Consider the following 13,647-nt stretch of genomic DNA (forward strand, 5'->3'; position numbering starts at 1 on the left):
ATTCTCACTCATAAGTGGGAGTTGAACAACGAGAACACATGATACATGGAGGGGAACATCACACACCAGGGCCTGTTGGGGGGTGGGGGGCTAGGGGATGGATAGCATTAGGAGAAATACAGATGATGATGGTTGATGGGTGCAGCAAACTACCGTGGCACATGTATACCTATGTAACATACCTGCAGGTTCTGCAATGTATCCCAGAACTTAAAGTATAATATTTTTTTTAAAAAGTCACTATTCAGGTTCAACATCAGATTTGAGCCAGCAGAAGAAAGAAACAGTGAACTTGAAGATACAACATTTAAAATTATCAAGTCTAAAAACAGAACAAAAGACAAGAAAAGTATACAGAGCCTAAGGAATTTATGGGATACCATCAAGCTGAACAATATAAGCTGTATGGAGTCTCTGAAATGTGGGTGGTCAGAGACTTTCTTTGAAGAAATAATGGCCAGAAACTTTCTAAACTTGATGAAAGACACAAATATACATCCAATAAGCTTGAAAAATCAATTATGATAAACCCAATAAAATATTTATTATGTACAAGGGAGTCCCAATATGATTATTAGCCAATTTCTCAGCAGAAACTTTGAAGGCTAGAAGGCACTGGAATGATATATTTAAAGTGCTGAAAGATAAAACTCAGATAAGAATTCTATATTTGGCAAAACCATGCCTTTAAAATGAGGGAGGAGTAAAGACATTCCCAGAAAAACAAAAAACTGAGGGAGTTTATAACCACTAGATCTGCCCAGCAAGAAATACTAGAGGGAGTCCTTTGCAATGAAGTAAAAAAAATTAGACAGTAACTCAAAGTTTTATGAATATATAAATATCTCTGGAGAAAGTAAACACATGGGCAAATATAAAAATCAATATTTTTATAAACTTGGTTTCTCATTCTACTTTTAATTTTCTACATGATTTAAAAGACAAATGCATAAAAATAGTTATAAATCTGTGGTTATAGGCATATAATGTATAAAGATGTAATCGGTGACATCAATAAAGTGAAGGAGAAGAAAGAACAGGATTTTTTGTAAGCAATTGAAGCTGAAGTGGTATAAATTCAAAAAAGATTGTTAAAACTTTAGAATATTATATGTAGTCCCTATGGTGACCATAAAGAATATACAAAATGTACACAAAAGGAAATGAGAAGGGAATCAAAACTTGTCATGATAAGAAATCAACTAAGGCAGTAATGGAGAAAAAGAGGAAGAAAAAGCTAGAATGTATACAGCAACCAAATAAAATAGCAAAAGTAAGTCCTCACCAATGAATAACTACATTAAGTGTAAATGGATTAAATTTTCCAATCAAAGGACATAGATTGGCAAAACTGATTAAGGAAAGCAGGATACAATTTTATGAGATTCATTTTAGAGCTAAGAATACACACAGATTGAGTGTGAAATAATGAGAAAAGGTAATCCATGCAAACAGCAACCAAAAGAGAGCAAGGATGACCATATTTATATTAGACAAAGTCAACTTTTTTCTGGTGTACATAGAACATTCTTCAGAATAGAAATGTTAAGCAACTGAAGCTTAACAAAAAAGTCTTAATAAATGTTAAACATTTATTAACAAAAAAGTCTTAACAAATGTTAAAAGGTTGATATCATACAAAGTATCCCTTACAATTATAATGGAATGAAACTAGAAATGAGTAGCAGAAGGAAAACTGGAAAATTCACACACATTGAAATTAAACAATATACTCAAACAGCCAATGGGTTAAAGAAGAAACTATAGAGAAACTGGAAAATATTTTGAGAGAAATGAAAACACAACCCCCCGACACTTATGGCATGTACAGAAATCAGACCCAAGAGAAAAATGTATAGCTGTAAATGCTTACATTAAAAAGAAGGATGTCAAATTAACAATGTACTTTACACTTTTAGGAACTAAAAAAAGAAAAAACTAAACCCACAGCCAGAAGAAGGAAGGAAAGATTACAACAAAGATACAATACAGGATACAAAAAAAAAAAAACAAAAAAATTAAACCAAAAGTAAGCTCTTAGAAAAGATCAACAAAATGTTTAGCTAGAATGACTAAGAAAAAAAGCTCAAGTAACTAAAATCAGAAATGAAAGAGGATATTACTACCAATTTTACAGAAATAGAAAACGATTACATCAGTGATTGTCAGAGTTAGAGGTGAGGAAACAAATAGGGCACAGAAGATTTTTAGGGCAGTGAAACTACTTGGTATGACACTGTAATGGTGGATACAGGTATATATTTGTTTAAATCCATAGAATGTACAAATCGAGCAAACCCATGTGTAAACTGTGGGCTCTGCATAATTATGTGTCAATGTAGGTTCAGCCAAGCAAAAGTGTCCTTTTCATGATAAAGATTCAAAATGATGCCCCTCAATGCTAACTCAATTAAGCATCTACAACAGGCCAGGCTTTGTGGTAGAACTACAAACAGCGTTGGAAATAACGGTAAGTTTCAGCCCCTACAGACTTCAAGTATAGCTGCAGGTTGAGAAAATCATATTCAATAAGTGCTCAGTTGCTTATGGTTTGCGATGGCAGTGATGGTCAGTCCAAGTATTTTCAGGTCAAGGCACACAACTTTCCAAAGATTATGCTTTCATCTGCCATACAGGCTGTGATATTACTCACATATTTGCAGCTTAGGAAGTTCCCAAGAGGGCTTGAAGCAAGAGGCTTGCTATGGATATTACTAATCACTAACATTTAAGAGTACTGTGGGCTAAATATTGATTTCAGCATTTTACATGTATTTATTCTTTTAATCCTTATAACCACAATTTAAGGGAAGTACAATTTTTATCTCCATTTCATGCTTGAGAAAACTGAGACACAGAATATCAATAATTTTCTTAAAACAGAGCTAATAAGTGGCTCCAGAGCCTGGTAGAAAGCAAGGCAGATATGAGGAGTTCTATTCTATCAGGGCAATAGGATGTTGGGCTGCCCAGTCAGAACAGTGAAAAGCCCAGTAGGCCAGCCTTTCCCCCAGCTGTCCAATTTTTTAATAGAGCTCCTGGTGGCAACATGTAGATTAGCCTTATTTAGACCTGTCAGCAAAGTCCTGGGGATCATGTCTGGGCCCCGTTAATAAATGGCTAAGATACACTGCCTACCATTTCTCTGTTCCACAGAAAGGGGTCTGGGTCAGTGAGAAAGAGAGTGGGAAGGAAAAGTCAAAAACATCCTCAGTTCCAATGACACAGCTTAGGATGGTGAGTATATGTCACATACACATTAAAACCCCCCTAATTAGGTTGTCCACTTCTGACTCGGAAAAGCCTCAGTGGAAAACATTATGCCATGATGCTACAATACCTGGGATTCTGCTCTGTTCAGCACTTCCAACCTTGAAGGACAAAAGCAAAACAGTGTGGGTGTAGGTGGGTGTGTGTCTGGCTGCAAGCACATGCCAGCCACTGCTGTCACACAGCCTTGCCTATGCCTTGGTATATTAAAGAGTGGTGAGTCACTCACACTTATGATAACCATTCATAACTAGAATTTTAGAAGAGGGGAAAACCCCAGGGCTGTACAGAATGACACGTGACACTCTCCAATGGAAGGACAGAAAGAGCAGAAGCCTCTTGCTAAATCTAACCATGAGCTCTTTCAGAGAAAAGAGGGCCGTTCAGCTTTTCTGCGTCACTATTAATGTGAGCCAGCTGGAAACAGAAAGAATGACTCAAGAGAGTACTACCTATCCTGGAAATGGGGTCAAAGCAGGTATGGTGGGGGAACTGGTTGTGGGCGAGACTGAAGGAGGAAGAAAGATGAGATGTGTGTTTCCTCAAAGTTGATGCTCCTCTCAGTTATTTACTCTTCTCAAGGGTGTCATCAGTATTCTCGGAAGGTCTCAAAAGTGGCAGGGTTCCACCTACCTCAGGTTTTTTTTGCATATTTAATCTTTTATATTTAATATTTAAAAACAATTTTTACATCTTTCACCGCAGGAATTTCCAGTTTGTAAATTGGAAAGCGCTGGAAAGCTGGACCCACTCAGTAACAAGACAACTCCAATCAAAGCAGGTGTTTGCAGGCATCAAGGTCAAGCTGGGCTGGGACAGCCAAGGGCAGCCCAGAGGTCCTTCTCATAGCACTACCTTCTCATAGTACTACCCTGTCTTGAGCAAAGACCCTTGTGGGACCATCAGCAGGATTTGGATGACTAACAGAGGGCAAATTTCATGCTGCTTTGAGCCTAATGCCTCTTTGTTTTTACTGCATTTTTTTTTAATTTTTTTTTTTTTATTATACTTTAAGTTTTAGGGTACATGTGCACATTGTGCAGGTTAGTTACATATGTATACATGTGCCATGCTGGTGCGCTGCACCCACTAACGTGTCATCTAGCATTAGGTATATCTCCCAGTGCTATCCCTCCCCCCTCCCCCGACCCCACCACAGTCCCCAGAGTGTGATATTCCCCTTCCTGTGTCCATGTGATCTCATTGTTCAATTCCTACCTATGCGTGAGAATATGCGGTGTTTGGTTTTTTGTTCTTGCGATAGTTTACTTAGAATGATGGTTTCCAATTTCATCCATGTCCCTACAAAGGACATGAACTCATCATTTTTTATGGCTGCATAGTATTCCATGGTGTATATGTGCCACATTTTCTTAATCCAGTCTATCATTGTTGGACATTTGGGTTGGTTCCAAGTCTTTGCTATTGTGAATAATGCCGCAATAAACATACGTGTGCATGTGTCTTTATAGCAGCATGATTTATAGTCCTTTGGGTATATACCCAGTAATGGGATGGCTGGGTCAAATGGTATTTCTAGTTCTAGATCCCTGAGGAATCGCCACACTGACTTCCACAATGGTTGAACTAGTTGACAGTCCCACCAACAGTGTAAAAGTGTTCCTATTTCTCCACATCCTCTCCAGCACCTGTTGTTTCCTGACTTTTTAATGATTGCCATTCTAACTGGTGTGAGATGATATCTCATAGTGGTTTCGATTTGCATTTCTCTGATGGCCAGTGATGATGAGCATTTTTTCATGTGTTTTTTGGCTGCATAAATGTCTTCTTTTGAGAAGTGTCTGTTCATGTCCTTTGCCCACTTTTTGATGGGGTTGTTTGTTTTTTTCTTGTAAATTTGTTTGAGTTCATTGTAGATTCTGGATATTAGCCCTTTGTCAGATGAGTAGGTTGCGAAAATTTTCTCCCATGTTGTAGGTTGCCTGTTCACTCTGATGGTAGTTTCTTTTGCTGTGCAGAAGCTCTTTAGTTTAATTAGATCCCATTTGTCAATTTTGGCTTTTGTTGCCATTGCTTTTGGTGTTTTGGACATGAAGTCCTTGCCCACGCCTATGTCCTGAATGGTAATGCCTAGGTTTTCTTCTAGGGTTTTTATGGTTTTAGGTCTAACGTTTAAATCTTTAATCCATCTTGAATTGATTTTTGTATAAGGTGTAAGGAAGGGATCCAGTTTCAGCTTTCTACATATGGCTAGCCAGTTTTCCCAGCACCATTTATTAAATAGGGAATCCTTTCCCCATTGCTTGTTTTTCTCAGGTTTGTCAAAGATCAGATAGTTGTAGATATGCGGCATTATTTCTGAGGGCTCTGTTCTGTTCCATTGATCTATATCTCTGTTTTGGTACCAGTACCATGTTGTTTTGGTTACTGTAGCCTTGCAGTATAGTTTGAAGTCAGGTAGTGTGATGCCTCCAGCTTTGTTCTTTTGGCTTAGGATTGACTTGGCGATGCGGGCTCTTTTTTGGTTCCATATGAACTTTAAAGTAGTTTTTTCTAATTCTGTGAAGAAAGTCATTGGTAGCTTGATGGGGATGGCATTGAATCTATAAATTACCTTGGGTAGTATGGCCATTTTCATGATATTGATTCTTCCTATCCATGAGCATGGAATGTTCTTCCATTTGTTTGTGTCCTCTTTTATTTAGTTGAGCAGTGGTTTGTAGTTCTCCTTGAAGAGGTCCTTCACATCCCTTGTAAGTTGGATTCCTAGGTATTTTATTCTCTTTGTAGCAATTGTGAATGGGAGTTCACTCATGATTTGGCTCTGTGTTTGTCTGTTATTGGTGTACAGGAATGCTCATGATTTTTGCACATTAATTTTGTATCCTGAGACTTTGCTGAAGTTGCTTATCAGCTTAAGGAGATTTTGGGCTGAGATGATGGGGTTTCCTAAATATACAATCATGTCATCTGCAAACAGGGACAATTTGACTTCCTCTTTTCCTAATTGAAAACCCTTTATTTCCTTCTCCTGCCTGATTGCCCTGGCCAGAACTTCCAACACTACGTTGAATAGGAATGGTGAGAGAGGGCATCCCTGTCTTGTGCCAGTTTTCAAAGGGGATGCTTCCAGTTTTTGCCCATTCAGTATGATATTGGCTGTGGGTTTGTCATAAATAGCTCTTATTATTTTGACGTACATCCCATCAATACCTAATTTATTGAGAGTTTTTAGCATGAAGGGCTGTTGAATTTTGTCAAAGGCCTTTTCTGCATCTATTGAGATAATCATGTGGTTTTTGTCTTTGGTTCTGTTTATATGCTGGATTACACTTATTAATTTGTGTATGTTGAACCAGCCTTGCATCCCAGGGATGAAGCCCACTTGATCATAGTGGATAAGCTTTTTGATGTGCTGCTGGATTCGGTTTGCCAGTGTTTTATTGAGGATTTTTGCATCAATGTTCATCAGGGATATTGGTCTAAAATTCTCTTTTGCTGTTGTGTCTCTGCAAGGCTTTCGTATCAGGATGATGCTGGCCTCATAAAATGAGTTAGGGAGGATTCCTCTTTTTCTGTTAATTGGAATAGTTTCAGAAGGAATGGTACCAGCTCTTCCTTGTACCTCTGGTAGAATTCGGCTGTGAATCCATCTGGTCCTGGACTTTTTTTTGGTTTGTAGGCTATTAATTATTGCCTCAATTTCAGAGTCTGTTATTTGTCTATTCAGGGATTCAGCTTCTTCCTGGTTTAGTCTTGGGAGGGTGTATGTGTCCAGGAATTTATCCATTTCTTCTAGATTTTCTAGTTTATTTGCATAGAGGTATTTATAATATCCTCTGATGGTAGTTTGTATTTCTGTGGGATTGGTGGTGATATCCCCTTTATCATTTTTTATTGCATCTATTTGATTCTTCTCTTTTTTCTTCTTTATTAGTCTCACTAGTGGTCTATCAATTTTGTTGATCTTTTCAAAAAACCAACTCCTAGATTCATTGATTTGATTTTTTTGAAGGGGTTTTTGTGTCTCTGTCTCCTTCAGTTCTACTCTGATCTTAGTTATCTCTTCCCTTCTGCTAGCTTTTGAATGTGTTTGCTCTTGCTTCTCTAGTTCTTTCAATTGTGATGTTAGGGTGTCAATTTTAGATCTTTCCTGCTTTCTCTTGTGGGCATTTAGTGCTATAAATTTCTCTCTACACACTGCTTTAAATGTGTCCCAGAGATTCTGGTATGTTGTGTCTTTGTTCTCATTGGTTTCAAAGAACATCTTTGTTTCTGCCTTCATTTCATTATGTACCCAGTAGTCATTCAGGAGCAGGTTGTTCTGTTTCCATGTAGTTGAGCAGTTTTGAGTGAGTTTCTTAATTCTGAGTTCTAGTTTGATTGCACTGTGGTCTGAGAGACAGTTTGTTGTAATTTCTGTTCTTTTACATTTGCTAAGGACTGCTTTACTTCCAACTATGTGGTCAATTTTAGAATAAGTGTGATGTGCTGAGAAGAATGTATGTTCTGTTGATTTAGGGTGGAGAGTTCTGTAGATGTCTATTAGGTGCACTTGGTGCAGAGCTGAGTTCAATTCCTGGATATCCTTGTTAACTTCCTGTCTCGTTGATCTGTCTAATGTTGACAGTGGGGTGTTAAAGTCTCCCATTATTAATGTGTGGGAGTCTAAGTCTCTTTGTAGGTCTCTAAGGACTTGCTTTATGAATCTGGGTGCTCCTGTATTGGGTGTATATATATTTAGGATAGTTAGCTCTTTTTGTTGAATTGATCCCTTTACCATTATGTAATGGCCTTCTTTGTCTCCTTTGATCTTTGTTGGCTTAAAGTCTGTTCTATCAGAGACTAGAATTGCAAGCCCTGCCTTTTTTTGTTTTCCATTGGCTTGTTAGATCTTCCTCCATCCCTTTATTTTGAGCCTATGTGTGTTTCTCCAAGTGAGATGGGTCTCCTGAATACAGCACACTGATGGGTCTTGACTCTTTATCCAATTTTCCACTCTGTGTCTTTTAATTGGATCATTTAGCCCATTTACATTTCAGGTTAATATCGTTATGTGTGAATTTGATCCTATCATTATGATGTTAGCTGATTATTTTGCCCATTAGTTGATGCAGTTTCTTCATAGCATCGATGGTCTTTACAATTTGGCATGCTTTTGCAGTGGTTGGTACCGGTTTTTCCTTTCCATGTTTAGTGCTTCCTTCAAGACTTCTTTTAGGGCAGGCCTGGTGGTGACAAAATCTCTCAGCATTTGCTTGTCTGTAAAGGATTTTATTTCTCCTTCGCTTATGAAGCTTAGTTGGGCTGGATATGAAATTCTGGGTTGAAAATTCTTTTAAGAATGTTGAATATCAGCCCCCACTCTCTCCTGGATTGTAGAGTTTCTGTCGAGAGATCCGCTGTTAGTCTGATGGGCTTCCCTTTGTGGGTAACTCGACCTTTATCTCTGACTGCCCTTAATATTTTTTCCTTCATTTCAACTTTGGTGAATCTGACAATTATGTGTCTTGGAGTTGCTCTTCTCGAGAAGTGTGTTTGTGGCATTCTCTGTAGTTCCTGAATTTGAATGTTGGCCTGCCTTGCTAGATTGGGGAAGTTCTACTGGATAATATCCTGCAGAGTGTTTTCCAACTTGGTTCCATTCTCCCTGTCACTTTCAGGTACACCAATCAGACGTAGATTTGGTCTTTTCACATAGTCCCATATTTCTTGGAGGCTTTGTTTTTTTGTTTTTACTCTTTTTTCTCTAAACTTCTCTTCTCACTTCATTTCATTCATTTGATCTTCAATCACTGATACCTTTCCTTCCAGTTGATCGAATCAGCTACTGAAGCTTGTGCATTCATCACGTAGTTCTTGTGCCATGGTTTTCAGCTCCATCAGGTCATTTAAGGACTTCTCTACACTGGTTATTCTAGTTAGCCAGTCATCTAATCTTTTTTAAGATTTTTAGCTTCTTTGTGATGGGTTCGAACTTCCTCCTTTAGCTCGGAGAAATTTGATCATCTGAAGCCTTCTTCTCTCAACTCGTCAAAGTCATTCTCCATCCAGCTTTGTTCTGTTGCTGGTGAGGGGCTGCTGCACTCCTTTGAAGTGGGAGAGGTGCTCAGATTTTTAGAATTTTCAGTTTTTCTGCTCTGTTTTCTCCCCATCTTTGTGGTTTTATCTACCTTTGGTCTTTGATGATAGTGATGTACAGATGGGGTTTTGGTGTGGATGTCCTTTCTGTTTGTTAGTTTTCCTTCTAACAGTCAGGACCCTCAGCTGCAGGTCTGTTGGAGTTTGCTGGAGGTCCACTCCAGATCCTGTTTGCCTGGGTATCAGCTGCAGAGGCTGCAGAACAGCGAATATTGCTGAACAGCAAATGTTGCTGTCTGATCGTTCCTCTGGAAGCTTCATCTCAGTGGGGTACCCGGCCATGTGAGGTGTCAGTCTGCCCTTACTGGAGGGTGCCTCCCAGTTAAGCTACTCGGGGGTCACGGACACACTTGAGGAGGCAGTCTGTCCATTCTCAGATCTCAAACTCCGTGCTGGGAGAACCACTACTCTCTTCACAGCTGTCAGACAGGGACATTTAAGTCTGCAGAGGTTTCTGCTGCCTTTTGTTTGACTATGCCCTGCCCCCAAAGGTGGAGTCTATAGAGGCAGGCAGGCCTCGTTGAGCTGTGGTGGGCTCCACCCAGTTCGAGCTTCCTGGCTGCTTTGTTTCCCTACTCAAGCCTCAGCAATGACGGGCGCCCCTTCCCCAGCCTCACTGCCACCTTGCAGTTCAATCTCAGACTGCTGTGCTAGCAATGAGTGAGGCTCTGTTGGTGTGGGACCCTCTGAGCCAGGTGCAGGATATAATCGCCTGGTGTGCCATTGGCTAATACCTTTGGAAAAGTGCAGTATTAGGGTAGGAGTGACCCGATTTTCCAGGTGCTGTCCGTCACAGCTTCCCTTGGCTAGGAATGGGAATTCCCTGACCCCTTGCACTTCCTGGGTGAGGCGATGCCTACCCCTGCTTCAGCTCTCGCTGGGTGGGCTACACCCACTTTCCTGCCCCTACTGTCTGACAAGCCCCTGTGAGATGAACCCGGTACCTCAGTTGGAAATGCAGAAATCACCCGTCTTCGGCATCGCTCATGCTGGGAGCTGTAAACTGGAGCTGTTCCTATTCAGCCATCTTGGAACCACCCCCACTACCTCAGAGTTTTAAGAGACTTAGCCTAGGGAAAAAAAAAAAAAAAAAGCTTGCCCTCACAATCCAGTGTGTACGGCATTGACATCTGAAAATCAGTAGGGAAAAGCTGGGCTAGGCAAGAAAAATCCTCCTCTATCTCATACACATGGACTCATTATATCAGTTATGCCTTCCAGGATTAATGAGGGAACAAGGGAAGGAGAGACGGAAGAACAGAACTATTTTCCTTTCTCTACTAGTAAGTTAGAACGTTTAAAACTTTGGAGCAGGGAAAGGAACTATTCCTATTCCTCTTTCTCTCCCCTCATCCTTCGCATCCCCCACCCTCATACTTGCTACTCTGTTACAAAATGTTTCTACATCTGACTTGGCCAGTAAAAAGTTGTTGGGCAAACTACCTGTTTTGGTGATTAGAACCCCTGGAAAAAAAATGTCACTTACAGTCTTCTTGAGACTCAGGCGAGAGACTATATAGCCTGCTGCATAAGGACAAGAGCCTAATATCAAAGGCAAAGCAGTCACTCTGCAGTCAGGCCTGGGTTCAAACTCTGGTTCTGCCATGTCTGAACTTGAACAATTTAACCTTTCTAAGCCTTAATGTCCTCAGTCTGAAAAATATTGTAATAGCTATCTTGCAGATTAATAGAATTAAATGATATGATGTATTTGAATGCCAACACATAGTAAAAGTGGCTCTTATTTTAGATATTTCTTTTCCAATGCCAAATAAAGCCTCCTACACCTTCCCGTCTGGCATTCCACCACATCAAAGCATAATCAGAACCAGATAAAAAGATTAGTCTAGACTTACAAGTCCCTGAATAGACCAATAATAAGTTCTGAAATTGAGGCAGTAACTAATAGCCTACCAACCAAAAAAAAGCCCAGGACCACATGGATTCACAGTCAAATTCTACCAGAGTTATAAAGAGGAGCTGGTATCATTCCTTCTGAAACTATTCCAATGAATAGAAAAATAAGGACTCCTCCCTAACTCATTTAACGAGGCCAGCATCATCCTGATACCAAAACCAGGCAGAGACACAACAAAAAAGGAAAATTTCAGGCCAATATCCCTGATGAACATCAATGCAAAAATCCTCAATAAAATACTAGCAAACCGAATCCAGCGCCACATCAAAAAGCTTATCCACCACAATCAAGTCAGCTTCATCCCTGGGATGCAACGCTGGTTCAACATATACAAATCAATAAATATAATCCATCACATAAACAGAACCAATGATAAAAACCACGTGATTATCTCAATAGATGCAGAAAAAGCCTTCGATAAAATTCAACACCCTTTCATGCTAAAAACTCTCAATAAACTAGGTATTGATGGAACAAATCTCAAAATAATAATAGCTATTTATGACAAATCCATAGCCAATATCATACTGAATAGGCAAAAGCTGGAAGCATTCACCTTGAAAACCAGCACAAGACAAGGATGCCCTCTCTCACCACTCATATTCAACATGCTATTGGAAGTTCTGGCCAGGGCAATCAGGCAAGAGAAAGAAATAAAGTTTATTCAAATAGGAAGAGAGGAGAGCAAGTCAAATTGTCTGCTTGTAGATGACATGATTGTACATTTAGAAAATGCCATCATCTCAGCCCAAAAACTCCTTCAGCTGATAAGAAAATTCAGCAGTCTCAGGATACAAAATCAATGTGCAAAAATCACAAGTACAAGCATTCCTATACATCAACAATAGACAAGCACAGAGCCAAATCATGAGTGAACTCCCATTCATAATTGCTACAAAGAAAATAAAATACCTAGGAATACAACTTACAAGGGATGTGAAGGACCTCTTCAGGGAGAACTACAAACCACTGCTCAACGAAATAAGAGGACAAAAATGGAAAAACATTCCATGCTCATTGATGGGAAGAATCAGTATCGTGAAAATGGCCATACTGACCAAAGTAATTTATAGATTCAATGCAATTCCCATCAAGCTACCAATGACTTTCTTCACAGAGAAAGAAAAAACTACTTTAAATTTCATATGGAACCAAAAAAGAACTGATATAGCCAAGACAATCCTAAGTAAAAAGAACAAAGCTGGAGGCCTCAGGTTACCTGACTTCAAACTGTACAACAAAGCTACAGTAACCAAAACAGCATGGTACTGGTACCAAAACAGATGTATAGACCAATGGAACAGAACAGACGCCTCAGAAATAATGCCACACATCTACAACCATCTGATCTTTGACAAACCTGACAAAAACAAGCAATAGGGAAACGATTCCCTATTTAATAAATGGTGTTGGGAAAACTGGCTAGCTATACGCAGAAAACTAAAACTGGACCTCTTCCTTACATGCTATACAAAAATTAACTCAAGATGGGTTAAAGACCTAAATGTAAAACCCAAAACCTTAAAAACACTAGAAGAGGTCCAGTTTCTAGAAGAAAACCTAGGCAATATCATTCAGGACATAGGCATGGGCAAGGACTTCATGTCTAAAACACCAAAAGCAATTGCAACAAATGCCCAGATCTACAAATGGGATCTAATCAAACCAAAGAGCTTCTGCACAGCAAAAGAAACCCTCATCAGAGTGAACAGGCAACCTACAGAATGGGAGAAAATTTTTGCAATCTACTCATCTGACAAAGGGCTAATATCCAGAATCTACAAAGAACTTAAATTTACAGGAAGAAAAAAAACAACCCCATCAAAAAGTGGACAAAGGATATGAAGAGACACTTCTCAAAAGATGGCATATGTGGCCAACATATATATGAAAAAAAGCTCACCATCACTAGTCATTAGAGAAATGCAAATTAAAACCACAATGAGATACCATCTCACACCAGTTAGAATGGTGATTAAAAAATAAGGAAACAACAGATGCTGGTGAGGCCATGGAAAAATAAGAATGCTTTTACACTGTCGGTGGGAGTGTAAATTAGTCCAACCATTGTGGAAGACAGTGTGGCGATTCCTCAAGGATCTAGAACCAGAAATACTATTTGAGCCAGCAATCCCATTACTGGGTATTTACAAAGGATTATAAGTCATCCTACTATAAAGACACATGCTCACGTTTATTGCAGCACTATTTACAATAGCAAAAACTTGGAACCAACCCAAATGCCCATCAATGATATACTGGATTTAGAAAATGTGGCACATATATACCATGGTACACTATGCAGCCATAAAGAAGAATGAGTTCCCTTTGCAGGGACATGGATGAAGCTGGAAGCC

The 13,647-nt window shown here is 39.3% G+C and overlaps 1 long non-coding RNA gene across 1 annotated transcript in view, besides 1 other annotated feature; it reads right to left on the minus strand.

Moving 5' to 3' along the window:
- The window catches only part of TET2-AS1 (TET2 antisense RNA 1), a 181,528-nt gene that overhangs the window by 131,624 nt on the left and 36,257 nt on the right, over positions 1 to 13,647 (minus strand). The window lies entirely within an intron of this gene.
- Positions 3,441 to 3,720: an enhancer, noted in NCBI's record as "active region_21779". NCBI's record gives its function as "activates an Ori minimal core promoter by ATAC-STARR-seq in GM12878 lymphoblastoid cells {active_cell/tissue: GM12878}" and the evidence as "EXISTENCE:reporter gene assay evidence [ECO:0000049][PMID:35858748]".

The sequence above is a fragment of the Homo sapiens genome, chromosome 4, assembly GCF_000001405.40.
Source record: "Homo sapiens chromosome 4, GRCh38.p14 Primary Assembly".
Taxonomy (NCBI): Eukaryota; Metazoa; Chordata; class Mammalia; order Primates; family Hominidae; genus Homo; species Homo sapiens.